Source organism: Homo sapiens, chromosome 2 (assembly GCF_000001405.40).
Source record: "Homo sapiens chromosome 2, GRCh38.p14 Primary Assembly".
NCBI classification, from domain to species: Eukaryota; Metazoa; Chordata; class Mammalia; order Primates; family Hominidae; genus Homo; species Homo sapiens.
Window position 1 is genome coordinate 64100655 of NC_000002.12, and position 17576 is coordinate 64118230.

General features: G+C 38.1%; 1 protein-coding gene across 6 annotated transcripts in view, besides 2 other annotated features; it reads right to left on the bottom strand.

Annotated features, from left to right (window-relative positions):
- Positions 1–17576, bottom strand: part of PELI1 (pellino E3 ubiquitin protein ligase 1) — a 51769-nt gene that overhangs the window by 8003 nt on the left and 26190 nt on the right. For 4 of the 6 annotated variants that reach the window (NM_020651.4, XM_017004520.2, XM_011532994.4 and 1 more), the window contains 2 exons: positions 7586–7725; positions 4047–4176 (listed from right to left, as the gene is read on the bottom strand). In NM_020651.4, the coding sequence (NP_065702.2) occupies positions 4047–4176; positions 7586–7656 (201 nt within the window). In that variant the 5' untranslated portion in view covers positions 7657–7725. Of the gene's footprint in view, positions 1–3899; positions 3944–4046; positions 4177–7585; positions 7726–11908; positions 12019–17576 lie in introns of those variants that run through there. The other 2 variants (XM_047445137.1, XM_047445140.1) reach the window with 2 other exon arrangements.
- Positions 4357–4557: a silencer, noted in NCBI's record as "peak3731 fragment used in MPRA reporter construct". NCBI's record gives its function as "represses an SCP1 promoter by STARR-seq MPRAs in K562 erythroleukemia cells {active_cell/tissue: K562}" and the evidence as "EXISTENCE:reporter gene assay evidence [ECO:0000049][PMID:32103011]".
- Positions 13470–13549: an enhancer, noted in NCBI's record as "active region_15882". NCBI's record gives its function as "activates an Ori minimal core promoter by ATAC-STARR-seq in GM12878 lymphoblastoid cells {active_cell/tissue: GM12878}" and the evidence as "EXISTENCE:reporter gene assay evidence [ECO:0000049][PMID:35858748]".

Here is a 17576-nt window from a genome sequence, read left to right on the forward strand (position 1 = left end):
GTGACAGTAGTTTCTCGGGTTGAATGGGGTACTGAAGAATATTTAGAAGCAGTTACAGAATAAAAACATAACTTTCTTTCTTTTTTTTTAAAGACAGAGTCTTGCTCTGTTGCCTAGGCTGGAGTGCAGTGGTGCAATCTCGGTTCACTGCAACCGCCGCCTCCCAGGTTCAAGTGGTTCTCCTACCTCAGCCTCCCAAGCAGCTGGGACTACAGGTGCACGCTGCCACGCCTGGCTAATTTTTTTTGTATTTTTAGTAGAGACGGCATTTCACCATGTTGCCCAGGCTGGTCTTGAACTCCTGAGCTAAGGCAATCCGCCTGCCTCAGCCTCCCAAAGTGCTAGGATTATAGGCGTGAGCCACTGCGCCCGGCCCATAATTTTCTTTTATCAAACCACTAGACTCCCTTATTAAGTATTTTAAATTATAATCAAAACCAAATCCCACATAAAAACAGAAAACAATAGTACTGCTCTGATAAGAAAATCTTGCAAAATAAGAGGAATCTTATTTTTGAAGTCATTCAGAGAGCTATAAAGTTCACTCATAAGCCAAGTTAACTGGTTTTCTAACCATTTTGTGACTCTACAGATGACAAATGTTGGCCATATGCTGGGTGAGATACAGAAAAATGCATTTGGGATTTGGTCCCAGGAGATAAAAGAAAAAAATTTAAAAAAAAAAAACAAAAGAAACATTCATAGAATGATTAAACATTACCAAAGGAAAGGGATGTAATGCTTATGACTGTACTTCTGATTTATCTCAAACTAAAAACATTGCTAAAAAGAACTTTTCAGTTTTGTTTTCAAGTGTTTTCTATGTATATGAGTTGAAGATAATATCAAAGGAGGGGAAAAATCTAGTCATCACACAAAGGAAGTAGAAATGGGCTGCATAAAACAGACACAAAGAAGAGAATAATTATATACAGCAAAGAAGCTAAATGAAAAAATCCTTCTTAATTAGAAGTTTGGCATCATAAGCTTTTACTTGGTTTCAATTTGCAACTAATCTGTAATAGATAAAGCCTTAAAACAACAGCTTTAAGACTGTCAAATTTCCAAATATACAAAGAGAATACAGAAATACCCTATTTCCAAATATAGAAGAGATTATACTAACGACTCAGCTTTATCAAAGCTTAATACTGCCACTTTTGCTTCTGATTTTTTTTTTTTTTTTTTTTGGAGACAGAGTCTCGCTCTGTCGCCTAGGTTGCAGTGCAGTGGTGCTATCTCGGCTCACTGTAACCTCCGCCTCCCAGGTTCAAGTGATTCTCCTGCTTCAGCCTCCTGAGTAGCTGGGATTACAGGTGCATGCCACCACGCCCGGCTAATTTTTTATTTTTAGTAGAGACGGGGTTTTGCCATGTTGGCCAGGCTGGTCTCGAACTCCTGACCTCGTGATCCACCCACCTCGGCCTCCCAAAGTGCTGGGATTACAGGCGTGAGCCATTGTGCCTGGCCTGCGTCTGATTTTTTTAAGGAATTAAACTACAGATACAATTGAGGCTGCCTACATGTCTCTCCCAGTTCCCTTTTCTCTACAGAGGTATCCAACCTCAAGAATGCAGTGTAGATCATTTACATGCATGTTTTACATATTTCTTTCTACACATTTAGGTATTCATATATACTATATAATTGTTTTACAAGTTTTAAACATATATATACATATATATATACACACGCACACACACATATACATATATATATGTTTAAGAGACCAGGTTTCGCTATGTGGCAGAGGCTGAAGTGCAGTGGCTATTTACAGGCAGGAAAATGGCACACTACAGCTTTAAACTCCTGTGCTCAAGTGATCTTCCTGCCTCTGCCTCCCAAGGAGCTGGGACTAACAGGCATGTGCCACTGTGCCCCGTTAAACAGCTCACTTTTCAATGAAACAATTACTCAGTATTTTGAAAATTAATTCTTAGTGGCTAAAGAGATTTTAAAACATTGGTTTTTATGTGCTTTGAAATTGTAATCTTTGTTTGTTAGTTATTAAACCTACTCTAAGACTGAGAATAAAAACTATGTCAAGTTACGTTTGAGTCTCACTGGCCTAGAACGCAGGGTTTTAACTACTCATCCCAGATGACTGCCAGACTAAATGCTTAATTTTCATCATGACCTCACAAATACATTCCTCCAAAATTTAAAGAGGAGGAGTCAATCTTTTTTTTTTTTTTTTTTTTAAACTGAGACAGGGTCTCACTCTGTCACTCAGGCTGCAGTACAGTGGCATGATCTCAGCTCACTGCAGCCTCTGCCTCCCGGGCTCAAGTGATCCTCCCACTTCAGCCTGCCAAGTAGCTGGGACTTCGGGGCATGCCACCACGCTTGGCTAATTTTTTGTATTTTTGGTGGAGATGGAGTTTCACCATGTTGCCCAGGCTGGTCTCGAACTCCCGAGCTCAAGTGATCCGCCCACCTTGGCCTCTCAAGTGCTGGGATTATAGGTGTGAGCTACCGCACCCAGCCAAGAGTCAATCTGTGATCCCTAAGATTCTTATTGCCTAGTAAAGATGAAAGATGAAAAAGAGATAACAATGAAAACATGAGGGCATGGCAGAGTAAAATAGGAAGAAAAGTACAGAATATGGTATTACAGAGGCAGGGATTAGAAATATTTTCCCTGATAGTGGTTTTCAACCAGAGGTAGTATTAGCAGTCTAAGGGGCATCTGAAAATATGCTGTGCATTTTTTGGCTGTTACGAGGATTTGCAGGCTCAAATGGCATTTTGTGGGTGAAGGACCTATAAATGTCCTGTAGTATGTGGGAAAGTACTGAACAATGAAAAAGTGGCATACCCAAAATGTCAAGAGCACTCCGGGGGGAGCTACTGTAAGAAGCTCCTCAGATTCAATCAATCTGAGGTTTACTTCCACCACCTGCTTAGTATATTCCTTCTCGCCAAAGGAGCAAAAAGAAACTGTCCCTTTTCTGCACCAACTGGCTCCCAAATAGTAACAGAGGAGTCCTAGTCAAGGCCTAAGGATTCTTTCACAAATCAAACTGGATATAAAACAAAGCTGAAAAGCCAATTACCTTCAGACACTGAAGCTGCAACCTAAAACCACATCATATGCCAATTTTTCTGTCTCTTGTTTATTTAATTTACAAAGATATGCTTCAGATGGTATAATATTAATGTACATCCTAGGGCTACTTAGCTAAAGATACAGGTACTTCCAGGAGTCAAAGAACTCTTTCTAATTTTTCTTATTTGCTCATTACAATATTAAATTCTTTGTAACACAAAGTCAGTGTTATAAAATTGGAGGCAGATGAATTCACAGAAAATATAAAGATGTGAAATTCCCCCTCCTTGTCTGTCACTCTAGGAAAAGCCCAAGTATCCTGAAATGGTGGTCCAGCTTCTGGAAATTTTGTTAGAAGAATACAAGGGGGCTAGAAGCATGAAATAGGCTAGGGGGTTGAGAAGTTATATTGTAGATGCAGTTGGATATTGCCTTCATAGCTTTGATTCAACTTAATAATTATTGAGGTCTACTTTGTGCAAGGTACTATGCTCAAATATATGAAGTTATAAACCAAAAATGAATACAACCAATACAAAGAATCTTAAGTAAAGACCCTTAGTTTAAAAATTACCTCATCCAAATGTGCTTCTAATACCTGAATACACATATTATACATCACATTCTTCATCCAGTCCAGGGAGACCCCTCTAGTAACAGAGTGGGAACTTCCCACTTCTCAGGGCAGACAGCTGCATAATTCTAAGTACTAGATAAAGCCCTGTCCCCCATCCCACCTCTTTTAATAAGGAAACAGAGTGTTTCCTTCTAATTTCCACCCACTGATCCTGGTTTGTCATTTTTTTTTTAAAAGTCCAATTCCCCTTCCATATGGCAGCTCTTCAAATACCATGTCTCCAAAGTCTCTTCTCCAATCCAAACAAAAGGCAATTTCTGAAATAGAAATGTAAGGGGAATGCTAGAGAATACAAACAACACATAAAAGTCTTTCAAATTCTCCAAGTTAATTTATGTAGCTTTTTTTTTTTTTTTTTACCTTTGCAGCCTGAGGAGTACAAGCAATATGCACAGTGCTGGGCTTCACCCCATTTGCCTTAGGTCTTTTAAACAAAGCAAACCTACTTTTCCTCCTTCCTCTATCGCCATTTGGGAGAGACCCATTATACCTGATGGGGGAAAAAAAGTATAGGTGATCTCTTGCAAGAACTGCACAATTATAAAACAAATGTTTGACTTTGCCTTGCAGAATCAATTCCCAATTAATTATCTATTAACACATTATAATTATTTAAAATTCCTTTGAGCAACTGTTGATCTCCATACCAGGTGCCAGTGTGTGAAACAAAATGAGATTCTTTTTCTGGCTTCATTCCAAGTCACAGAGAACCTTTTGGATTATACACAGATTCGTGTTATCTCTATTTTTTTCCTTCCCTCTTTTATGGAAGATAATTAAGAGCTGATTAATGGCATGTCTGACTCCTTATGACTCATTCTGTTTTTTTAAGGTGAACTGTTTGCATGTGCTAATACAACCTTTAAAAAGTACAGTATGTATTGTTTAAAACACAATCTCCTTTAATTGTGAACCAAACACTTTAAATAGCTGAACTTTTGAAGTAAGGAATTTTTAGATTTGTTAAGTCTTAGCTACCTGAATGTACAAATGCACTCTCATTATGTTAGCAGAACCTGTCCAACAGACATGTTTGCTAAGTAGTAAACATACTTTTGTTGTTCAGATCTTATGACCATTTCTCCATAACATGTACACATACACACACACACACATATACATCCTAAAGGTAAGCAAGTACTAAACCAATGGAAACAAGTTAAAAACAAAATAAAAATATTTGGGTGTTTACTATGTACCAGGCACTATTGAATGCTATCCCATACACATCACCTCACTAAATCTACCCTTGCAAAAATTCTACTAGATTGAAATCACTGTCCCCATTTTTGTACATTAGGAAACAGACTCAGAAGAATTATATTCTGAAGTGACACTGGCAAAGCCAGAATTTGAATTTAAGTATGTTTGTCATGTGGTTATGTCATTCTTTACTGCTTCATTGAGGCATGAGCAGTAGCTTAATAATAATCTTTCCTCATTCACCGTCCACCTCCCCTGCCCCCGCCCCCTGACAAATCTTGGGTTTGATGATCTACCATATGTAGTTGGTCAATCTAGGGGGAAAGGAAGCAGGGAACAGGGACAGTTTTGAGGCTGGAGGAGGAAGTGATTATAAAATGGCCTGTAATTGTGGCTGGCAAGGAAGAATGTTTTAAAGCTGAGAAGAGAGTTTACTCAATGACTGCCATATATAGAAACTACATTGACCCTTTATAAAAAATAAAATACTTTGTATTGGAGAAAGCCCTTGGTAATGTTGCTAGCCTTGCTGTAAGTCCAAAGTACAGCCCCTTAGCTAATAATTATTTTAGCTATTTTAGGCTTTGTATTGCCCCCAGACCCTCTGTCGATTCCTCACTGCCCCTTCACTACTGTCCTCTGAGTTGCATGACTCATCCCACTTCTGGATCTTGCTCTTTAGTCCCACATTGCGTTCCTGTAGTTCAAAGCTCTTTTCTAAGCAGCAACAGCATGAAACCTTGTCCAGCTTCACTTCTAGAGGGTTGAGAAGAAAAATTATCTGCATTTTAAGACACCAAGTACCAGACACAGAGACAATTACTGTTGCTAATGATTAACTGAGGAACCCATAGGCTAAGACTGGCGGTTTAAAACCCTAAGCTAAATATTAAACTATTCTTCAAATGACTCTCAAATTTCCTGCTAGAAGAATTTAATCTGGAAAAGTTTTTGGTAGTTAAGAGCTGTTTGTCATTGATACCATTAAAATCTATGTGATTTGAAGTTCTAATACTGTAGTTACTATGCTAAATTTATGATCTTTTAAAGCTTTGTTTCTGAGAAAAGAATTTTAAGTCTCAAAGGGCCTTAGATGATCTTATCTGTCATTTTTACAGACAAGGAAACTAAGGCCCAGGATGGTTCAGTGACTTGCCCAAGGTCACACAGCTAGCAGTGCTGAACAAGCACCGGATTCTAGGATTCCTAACATCCAGTCAAGCTCAGTAACTCCATATGATTTCCCCAGTTTCTCTTACTATCTCAACTGAAACAACGCATTCTCACTTTAACAACCTGACTCTCAAACATACCGCAATATCTAGAGTTGCTTTTTAGGCAAAAGGAGGGAAACAGTAGGGGGAAAATAAAATTAGCAATTTTCTTTTTTCTCATTTTTTTCGAGACGGAGTCTTGCTCTGTTGCCCAGGTTGGAGTGCAGTGGCGCTGATCTCAGCTCACTGCAACCTCCTCCTCCTGGGTTCAAGTGATTCTCCTGCCCCAGCCTCCCAAGTAGCTGGGATTACAGACATGCACTATCATGCCCAGCTAATTTTTGTATTTTTAGTGAAGATGGGGTTTCACCATGTTGGCCAGGCTGGTCTCGAACTCCTGAGCTCAGGTGATCTGCCCACCTAGGCCTCCCACCTGTAAGCTGGGATTACAGGTATAAGCTACTGCACCTGGCCTAAAATGAGCAATTTTCTAGTTTCTGAGATCTCTAGTTAGGAAAGGCTAATACTGTGTCTCCATTTTGATAGTTAATGGCAAGTTTAAGTGGAATAAATTGAAATAATTTGGAATAACAGAATCATCTATTCCTCAATCTTCAGATTCTATTTCTGTGAGTTACATGGATGAAATTACGTTAGGAGCTAAGAAGTAGCTAGGTCCTGGGCTTCAGAGGCATTATGCTGTCACCATACACATATACAACTCCTTTAACCCAAATGTACAGCACAAAGCAATAACTACTGTAGAGAGGCAAAAGAATAAATGAAGACTAACCTACATGAAATGACTTAAAGCAGGGAAGGGAAAGGGAATTTTTGGTAAAGTCAGCTGAGGCAAAACATGGGATAGGGAAGACAAATGGAATGACTGTGACAGTGGATAAATAACATTTTTCATTTCATTTCATTTTTTTTTTTTTGAGACAGAGTCTTACTCTGTTGCCCAGGCTGGAGTGCAGTGGCGCGATCTCAGCTCACTGCAACCTCTGCCTCCAGGGTTCAAGCAATTTTCCTGCCTCAATCTCCCAAGTAACTGGGATTACAGGCATGCCTCATCACGCCCGGCTAATTTTTGTGTTTTTAGTAGAGATGGGGTTTCACCATGTTGGCCAGGCTGGTCTCGAATTCCTGGCCTCAGGTAATCTGCCTGTCTTGGCCTCCCAAAGTGCTGGGATTACAGGCGTGAGCCACCATGCCCGGACTTTCCATTTCATCTTTGAGAAACTCTGCCCTTTCTGTGGGTAAGGGTGAGACAAAGCTTATGTCATATTTGAGTGCTTTTAAAAGATGGCATGAATATGAGAAGTAAAAGAGTTTCTTGATTTGGTAACATTACCTGTAGCTTTAAATTCTTTTTGGAAGCAGGTAAGATATAAATTCCAAAAAAAAAAGTACTTTTAGCCTAGATGCCAAAGTTAGCATATATTATTAAACTGTGTGTGTCATCAAATGGAGAAACCTTACCCTAAGACAATGAGTTCACCATATTTTACTGGTGCTTTAGATGGATGATTTTCTTGATCAGGAGAAAACATGAGCTTGGCTGTCTTTCTCAAATCTTTGTTCACTGGTCAGGAGCCTTGGGACACCTTTTGCATTATTTCCTAGAGGGGAAAAGTTTTCATTAATAATGTGAACAATTCGTTTCAGTTTAAATAAAGATGTTATTTTTCAGCAGTCCTCTTGAACACAATATTATGCAAACCATCACAAGGTATATACATTTTATGGGACATTTTGCCCAATAATGATTATATATTTTACAAAACTGTTTAAAGGAATCAAAAATGCAAATTTGAAGACTTCCACTTACAGAAGCATAGAGCAGACATACTTTTCCCTTTTATTTCTGCTAAGTATAACTAAAGACCCTGGACATTATATACAAAACATGAGAAGACTGTGAAAAGTGGAGAGAAGGCAGACTAAGTAAGGGACCTCAGGACCCATGGAATGACACGGTGGTGTAAATTCTCTGGGTTTTCTTTTTGCCTAATATATCCCAGACTTGGAGCTAAAGAAGGCAGCAACCTGGAAATGCCAACTGGCACAGACAAAAAGAGCCACAACAAAAGCTTGCTCTCTCTAGCCAAAGAAACAAGAAAGGGACAGCCTGGCAAGACAGAAAACTTTTGACAGTAACTGCTCCACTCCAGCCAAACCCAGAAAACAGTTTTGCCCCACCACCACCCACACCAACGAAAGCTAAGTGAGGAGCCTTGACTTCCAGCTCATAAACCATAGTGAGGAGCTCCAATGCCCTATTAGGGCAATGTAAAAGTAGGCCAACTAGGGAGCCAGGACTTTCACCCTGATGGCCGGGCATGCCCCAGCACCTACCTCAGTAGGTGTCAGCTAGACTTCCACCCCCACCCAGCAATAACAAGAAGGATCCTCTTCCTGAGGCATCAGTAGAGGCTGAGTAGGGACCCTTGACTTCTATGTCCACCTGGCAGTAATGAGGCACCCCCTATGACCTTGCCAAAGCAGTGTCAATAAAAGCCAGTGGAAACAGAAGGTTTAGATAATATCCAGAGCCTAGGAACATAATATGAAAATATCTAGTTTTAACAGAAAATCATTCATCCTAGCAAGAACAAGATTTAAAACAATGCAAAAGATAGGCTGGGTGCAGTGGTTCACGCCTGTAATCCCAGCACTTTGGGAGGTCGAGGCAGGCGGATCACTTGAGGTTGGGAGTTTGAGACCAGCCTGACCAACATGGATAAACCTGGTCTCTACTAAAAATACAAAATTAGCCGGGCGTGGTGGCACATGCCTGTAATCCCAGCTACTAAGGAGGTTGAGGCAGGAGAACCACTTGAACCCGGGAGGAGGAGGTTGCAGTGAGCCGAGATCAGTGCCACTGCACTCCAACCTGGGCAACAGAGCAAGACTCCATCTCAAAACAAAAACAGAAACAAAAACAAAAACAATGCAAAAGATAATCAATAGGTGCCAAAACTTAGATGACAGAATTACCTGACAAAGATTTAAAAGCAGCTATGATAAAACTGAACAGTGGAAATTACTCGATCTGAATAGAGAGAAAATAGGAAAAACAAAATGAAACAAAAAACAGAGCCTTATAGACCCGTGCGTGAGACTATAGCAAAATCTAACACGTGTGTCACTGGACACACATGTCAAAAAGACAGAAGAAAGAGTAAAGCTGAAAAAATAAAGAGGCTGGGAGCAGTGGCTCACGCCTGTAATTCCAGCACTTTGGGAAGCGGAGGCGGGAAGATCACTTGATGTCAGGAGTTCGAGACCAGCCTGGGCAACATGGTGAAACCCCGTCTCTACTAAAAATACAAAAATTAGCCAGGCATGGTGGTGTGCCTTGTAGTCCTAGCTACTTGGGAGGCTAAAGTGGGAGTAATCGCTTGAACCCGGGAGGCAGAGCTTGCAGTGAGCCAAAATTGCGCCACTGCACTCCAGCCTGGGCGACAGAGTGAGACTCCGTCTCAAGAAAAAAAAAAAAAAAAAAAAAGAAAAAATATCCTGGAAGCAGAGAGAGAGAGAGAACACTGCATTTATAACGACAATTAGACTGACAGTGGAGTTCTCATCAGAAACCACAGAACCCAGAAGATAGTGGCATAGTATTTTTCAGGTGCTGACAAAAATGGAAGGGAAGTCAAGACATTCTCAGACGAGGAAAAATTGAGAGAATTTGTTACCAGCAGACCCACTATAAATAAAGAATGGCTAGAGGAAATTAACTAAACAGAAAATAAATAAATAAAAGAACCTTAAAATATGAGATGTAAAAACACGGTAGCAAAAATATGAGTAAATACAATCGACTTTCCTTCTCTTGAATCTTCTGAATTTTGTCTGATGGTGAAAGTGAAAACTATAATACAGTTAGATGTAGTTCTAAATGTGTGTAAAGGAAATAGTTCAGAAAGGCCAAGGTGGGAAGATCACTTGAGGTCAGGAGTTCAAGACCAGCCTGGCCAACATGGTGAAACCCCATCTCCACTAAGAATACAAAAATTAGCAGGGCGTGGTGGCACGTGCCTGTAGTCCTAGCTACTCGGGAGGCTGAGGCAGGAGGATCACTTGAACCTGGAGGCAGAGGTTGCAGTGAACCCAGATCGCACCACTGCACTCCAGCCTGGGTGACAGAGCAAGACTCCATTTCAAAATATATATATATATATGTATTTGACACAAGTATAACAAAAAATTAACACTTCTGATCAGCCGGAAAATCACACAATAAATAATCCCCAAAATATTATCATGTCTTTTTCATCCTCAGTTTAATGGGATCAAGTATTTCCTGCATTTATTTCTCTCCCTAGTTCCTGATAGACCTGTTACAAAGGTTTCACAGCAAAACTCCTACTAGCTAGCCCATAAAAGTCTCCTCATTTTATACCTCCACCAACAGATTTCATAGGAATCTCATGAATGAAAAAGGTCTACTTGTCTTTTTCTACAGTACAATGAAATACAGCCTGTGTAGTGGCACTTTTGGTGAGAAGGCAACAGGGAATGTATGTAGCCCAATGAATAAGAACACGTCAAAGGAAAAGTCAATGAATAAAACAAATCATTCTGACCCCTACTAATCCCTTGGAAGTGACATACACATTTAGACCAGTCATTCACACTAACACACAACTACTATCATCAATAAATTCAAAAAATTATTTTAAAAAATGCTTCAGAAATATTTTAAGAAAAACATTTCCATCATTCAAATACACTAAAAACACCTCTCGTCACCCTAGATATATTTGCTTTTGCTGAAGAGATTTTAATTCATTACGGTATTTAAAAGGTTACAGAAACCAATATATTGCTATTTCACCATAACTGTGATACATCTGAGTTGTGAGGCAATCAGATTCCTTATTTAGAAAAATAAACTTATGCTAAGCTAACTAAAACCTTCAAGGTAAAAACTGAAGTTTCAAGAACAATTAAATCAACCAAAGAATAATTTTGGTTCCATATAATAAGATCTTCTGATATACATGAAATCATACTTTAGTATATAAACATGTATTCATGCCCTCTCATTTCCCCTCTAAGAAGCATTTCATTTAAAAAAGTTATACAGAAGCTTAACTAGAGGCATTAGCTGTGCTTTTTCTGTTTAGACAATTAAGGAACTGACATCAAACATGAAAACAATGCTTTGACACATTTCTGACGAAGAACAGCAATAATTAAAAATTTAATAACAATTAAATTTAAATTAATTTTAAATTAAATTTTAATAACGTTGCTTTGTTTTGAATTCCTATTTAGAGTTACTATTTAAAGGATATAATGGTTTTCTATTTATAGTAGCAAAAAATTTCCTTTAAAATAAGCTTATTTAAAGGAGTCAATTTAAATTGTATTAAATAGAATTAGTAAGTGCACAGATATGGCAAACATCTGAAAGTGTAAATGCCCGTATTTGGCTGACATTAGTATATCACATGGCTAGCAAGTATTAGCCTGTGTTCTAGTTCTAGCTGTCTTTGAACAAAGCAATCTGTTTCCTCATCTCTGAAAATGAAGGGACTAAAGTGGAATAAAGGGAATTTGGGAGCTGGAAAAAATATAAGCGACCATTTGGTCCTGACATAAGAATTTACAAGTAACGTGCATAACACTATAGATTTAGTTCTATTGCGTCTATAGCAAAAGAACAATTTTTTTGCTTAGACAAGAAACTAAAAAACAAGAGTACGGCTGGCATATACCCTCCATATAATTTCTAGAGCCCTTGGTCAAATTAGCCAAGAAAAACAATATATTTCCAATCAGACATATTCTTACTCTGCTTAGATCTCTTAGAAGGCCTTATCTGGGGATATTTTATCAGTGACATCAAAGTTTCAATCACAGGAACACATTCAATCTTGGCTTCTACTTCTGTATTTGATAATCTAAACCCAAAATAAAACACTTTTGTAGTACCAGTTATTTATATACATAAATGACCCAAGATAGTTTTCAAAATTTAAAAATGGCATATAATCAATCAATATACAACTGGCCTTATTAAACTGCAAATAAAATGCTGTGACAGCTATTCTTCCTGGAACTTTTTTTTTTATGTGTTCTCTGAAGAAAGATTCATGATCTTCCCAAAGGTTTATACTCTTTAACAAAGACCAGTACCTAGACAATGCTTTCCTACTCACTGTCTTTATATATTCTCTCTATATTTTAAAATCTGAGTAAAAGAATTCTTCAAAATGAATTCCTAGGCTGGGCATGGTGGCTCATGCCCGTAATCCCAGCACTTTGGGAGGCCAAGGTGAGAGGATCACTTGAGGCCAGGAGTTTGAGACCAGCCTGCGCAACATAGTAAGACTCCCGTCTCTACAAAAGATTTAAAAAAAAAAAAGTAAAAACAGAAAACATTAGCCAAATGTCATGGCATGCACCTATAGCCCCAGCTACTCAGAAAGCTGAGGTGGGAGGATCACTTGTGCCCAGGAGTTTGAGGCTACAGTGAGCTGTGATCCTCCAGCCTGGGTGACGGAGAGAAACTCTGTCTCAAAAAAAAAGAAAAAAAAAAAAAAATTCCTGAAGTCATGTACTTGAGAACTTTAAATGAGTATGTACATAAAAAACATCCGAATGTCTCGATTACTGGCTTCATTTGTTGGTCTTCAATTAAGTTAGTTTGACCTCATGTATTCAGCCCTATCCCAATGTTATCTAGCACCAAGAACATGAAATAGCACCATTAATTCTACTCAAGACTAGAAGAAATGCTAAAGAAAATCTTCCTAATAAAACTGTCTTCTATTTTATCTATTACTTTGAAACTTTGCTTGATACTCGAAAGCATGTTGCTCTCATTAGCAGGAACTAAACTTCCAGAGTTAAAAAAAAATTTTAAAATAAACATATTCTGGAATAGTGTTATTTTCTTTGTGGGCTGGGAGAACATGAAAAGTTACTCATAAAATATGTATTTATTAGGAATAGTATTATTAATTTGACTGTTAAACATTCTAATCATTTCCTTTTTAAGGGCCAGTGAAATACAATTATTTTCATATCAAGTCTTCCCAAAGGAAAGACTTTGTATAATATCTGTCAGTTTCACCTAAAGAAGAAAAACTGAGAAATCAATCTTTGTCTCTCAACCTAACAAATGTTTTCTTTCATTATTTACATCACACACAGCCTTTTGCTTACTACCTACTAAACACAAGTACAAAATTCCTGCCCTAAAAAAAAAAGCAAAACAAATACTAAGCAAGGGACAAAACAAATCTTATGCAGATTGTTTACATATCTTCTGAGCACTTCTATTTTAGTGGGCAAGTGGGTAGGCATAATGGGGTACTGAGAAAAAAAGGAAAATGTTTTAAAACATGAAAATGTTATAACATTTTTTTATGATGAAAAACAATGTGGACTGCATATATTATCTCAGATAAAACAGATTTCCATCTATACTAGAGTTTCCTTGTGGCTGATTTCAAAAGGATGACTCAAACAGAAAGAACTGCTTTAGTATGTTTGCGGTGGAACCATTTTATGAAACCAATTCAGCTGATGACTGGAGTTTAATTCATAGCAGTTTCTTGATAAGAGTGAAAATTTAATCACCTTCTTCATTCTTTTGCAACCAGCAGGAGTAACACATAGCATTTTTACATAAAAGGAGAAATAATGGTGTGCAGTAGTAGTTGGAGGTTACTACTTTCTGCTAGTGTCTTTTAGCTTCTCAACACAGCAGTGGAGGAAGTGAAGTCTATGTTCCCCTTCCCAAGATACAGGACACCACCTGTGTAAATTCCCACCCTCCTCTCTTAGAGAAGCCAAATAGCATGCTGATAGTATATCACCTACAGGGATAACTTATTTCATCCTGATGGAAAAGGAGTTAACATCTTTCCTAGGGACAGTATTTGTTCCTTTAACTGGGGCTTCTCAACTTGGGCATTACTGACATTTTGACATTGTGGGGCACTGGCCTGTGCATTGTAGGGGGTTCAGCAGTATCTCTGGCCTTTCTGTTCTACCTAGATGCCAGTAGAACATTCTAGTTGTGACTTTAAAAATGCCTCAACTTCCTATCTCCCCACTACTCACTCCCCTACCTTGTGAGAACCACTGCTCTAATCTTGAAGACAACATACATTGTTCTTAGGATGGAAATTTCCCCTTTTTTTGGCATACTTCTTGGCACACAGTAAGGTACTTAATGTTTGCTTACTAACATTATACTGATACTGATAATAAAAGGTTATTTATACTAAGACTTGTGTTAGTAAAGGCCGTGTAGTTGAAGGCGGGTGTAGTTTCAGTATTTTACTAGAATTGATAGGGGCTGAGAGTGAGAATGAGAATCTTGCCTTGATGGCAATTAATGATTAATGTTTCTGTACATTTAAAATATTTTAATATTGTGGCTACCTCTCTCAAATGGTTGAAGGAAAGCGACTAGAGCTGGAGTGGCCACAGAAGTAGCTATAAGGCTACTGCTGGGTAGCCTGCTGTTTAGAGAAAGGCAAATCTTTGGAGGCTAGATAAGTATCTTCTGGACTAAGGGGCCCATATTTAGAAAAATTAAAAGCAGGTTTTGGCAAGCATGGGAGAATTCTTTTAGGTCAACAGAGGGTGTCAATTTGAATCAACCTTGGGGTAAGGTCTATCTTGAACTTGCATAGAATGGTAATTAGCCAAATGCTTTCACGTAAGATTATTTTATTTGACCCCCATAATAGCCCTGTGAATTGGGTAGGAAAGTCTGAACTCTATTTTCCAGATAAGGGAACTGAGTAGGTCAGAAAAGCCCAGTGACTGAAGGCCAAAGAACTCTGGCAGAGCTAGGACTGAGATCCACATGTTAACTCAACATACATTACCCCATTTAATTTCTATTACAACTATAAAGTACAATCATTTGTCCCCATTTTATAAATGGAGAAACTGAAGCTACCAGAGGTAAAGTGGTCCAGATTTTCTAATGTCATTACTCCACACCCTAGACAAGGTAGAATGGGGCTAATTCCTAAACAGACTAAAAGACCCTATTACAGGACCATTTAGAAGACTAGAATGTATTCACATGTAAAATAAACTGTAAAAAAGTTATACTTCAGCATAGATTAGTAACAACTATTCAATTATGAGTAGTGCTGAGATTATCTGAACCTTTGTCACTTCCTCAATGTTCATTGTATTTGTCAACCATTTCCTGGTAGTGACCAACGACAAATATTTCAGTAAATAAAGTGGACTTTGTGTGCTTATTTTAAAAATGAGGACAGAAAGGAACCTAAGGGTGGAAAATCAGGGTATTTCACAAAGGTAAATTCCTGGTACTACCAGGAAGAAAAACATACACATTAGAAGTGAGTCCAGACAGTTTAGGAACAGACAGGGTCACGTGCTCCCTGATTGTGGAAGGAGAGCTGTTTATATAGTCTTGCAACCTTACCCACAAATAATCACTTAATTCTCCACACCTAGAAAATACATTTTTAAACACACAACTAAGAACCCAAACAGTTTTATTGTCTGTGCCCATTCTTAGCTTGTATTCAACAATTTTAGATTACCAAAGTTCCTAAAATGACAAAATGATCCTCACAAAGCAAGACTAGAAAGTCCTCTAGGTTTAACCATTAAAGTCCCAAATAAAATTCTGCATAAAGCAGCAAATTCAGTGGGATTTGGCAGTTATTTGGAACAAAAACATGAGATAAAAGGATATTCATGGGAAATCCTATCATTTTCTAAAGTCAGCATCCCACACTGGTAGTCCCTTTTCATAATGGCTAACACTGAATTCAGTCTCTGTGCCAAGCACTGTTCTAAGCACTTTACATGTATTAAGTGATTTAATCTCTGGGACAACCTTATGAGATAGGAACTATTATAACCCACATTTTACAGATAATAAAACTAAGGTTACAAATGAGCACTCTGGAATTGCTGAAACAATTGAGTTTTAAAGTTTTAAAGTACAGGCACATCTGGTTTTATTGCACTTTGCTTTATTTTACTGTGCTTCGCAGATACTGTGTTTTTTACAAATTCAAAGTTTGTGGCAACCCTGCATGGCCAAGTCTATTGGTGCCAAGTTTCTGACAGCATGTGCTCACTTCATGTCTGTGTCACATTCTGGTAATTCTCACAATATTTCAAACTTTTTTCATTATTATTATTACTATTGTATCTGTTATGGTGGTCTGTGATCAGTGATCTTTGATGTTACTGTTATAACTGTTTGGGGGTGCCCTGAATTGTGTCCATATAAGGTGGTACACTTAATTGATAAATGCTGAGTGGGTTCTGACTGCTCTACTGTTTCTCCCATCTCTGCTCACTCTCCTTAAGCCTCCCTATTTCCTGGGACACAATATTGAAATTATGCCAATTAATACTCCTACAGTGGCCTCTAACTGTTTAAGGGAAAGGAAGAGTTGCAAGTCTCTCTCCCTTTAAATCAAAAGCTTGATTTATGGTGATGCTGCTCCATCACTTAATATTTAATTATTTTCTCAGAGATTCATATTTTTCAGTATCTTAAGAAATGTTTATAATCTGTTCTTTGTAGATAACTTTTGATACAATGAAGTAAGTTCTATTTTTTTTTTTTTACCACTCTTAATATATAATAGACCTGGAAATACAATCAAAGACCTCAAGAAACATTGCACTTAGTTTCAAGGTAGAATGCTGTATAAATGTTTGATTCTCCATGGGGAGGGAAAACTACATCTAAATCAAATATCTAAATAGAGCATATATTCTCTGCTCTTTTAGAGAAGCTAACTTTAAGCCTTTTAGTTTCGAAATTCCATTATAAGCTCCATTCAAAAGGGATGAAAACAGAAAAATGTAGTTGAAAATTCAAATTACAAATAAGTCTCCAATATTGTAGTAAAGTCGACTACTAATAGAGAGAAATCATTATTAAAAGATGACAATTATTACTACTCTAATGAAAAAAGGTTTCATCTTATGAGAGTTCTAATTTTCTCTTTGGGTCACAAAAAGTTTTCAAAAGTAGCATCTAATCTTTCTTTAACCAAATCATAATGTTTTCCCAATAATTTTTTTTTTTTTGAGACAGAGTGTTGCTCTGTTGCCCAGGCTGGAGTGGAGTGGAGCGATCTCAGCTCACTGCAACCTCTGCCTCCCAGGTTCAAGCGATTCTCCTGCCTCAGCCTCCTAAGTAGCTGGGACTACAGGTGCATGCCACCACGCCCAGCTAATTTTTTGTATTTTTAGTAGAGACGGGATTTCACCATGTTAGCCAGAATGGTCTCGATATCCTGACCTCGTGATCTGCCCAACTCGGCCTCCCAAAGTGCTGAGATTACAGGTGTGAGCCACCGTGCCCGGCCCTTTTGTTTGTTTAAACAGAGTGAATATTTTAAATCACTCAGTATGATATTCTTATTTAACCCTTTTCATTAAGAAAACAATAAATATATACAGCTGGGATATTTCTATGAATTCCCTCTTT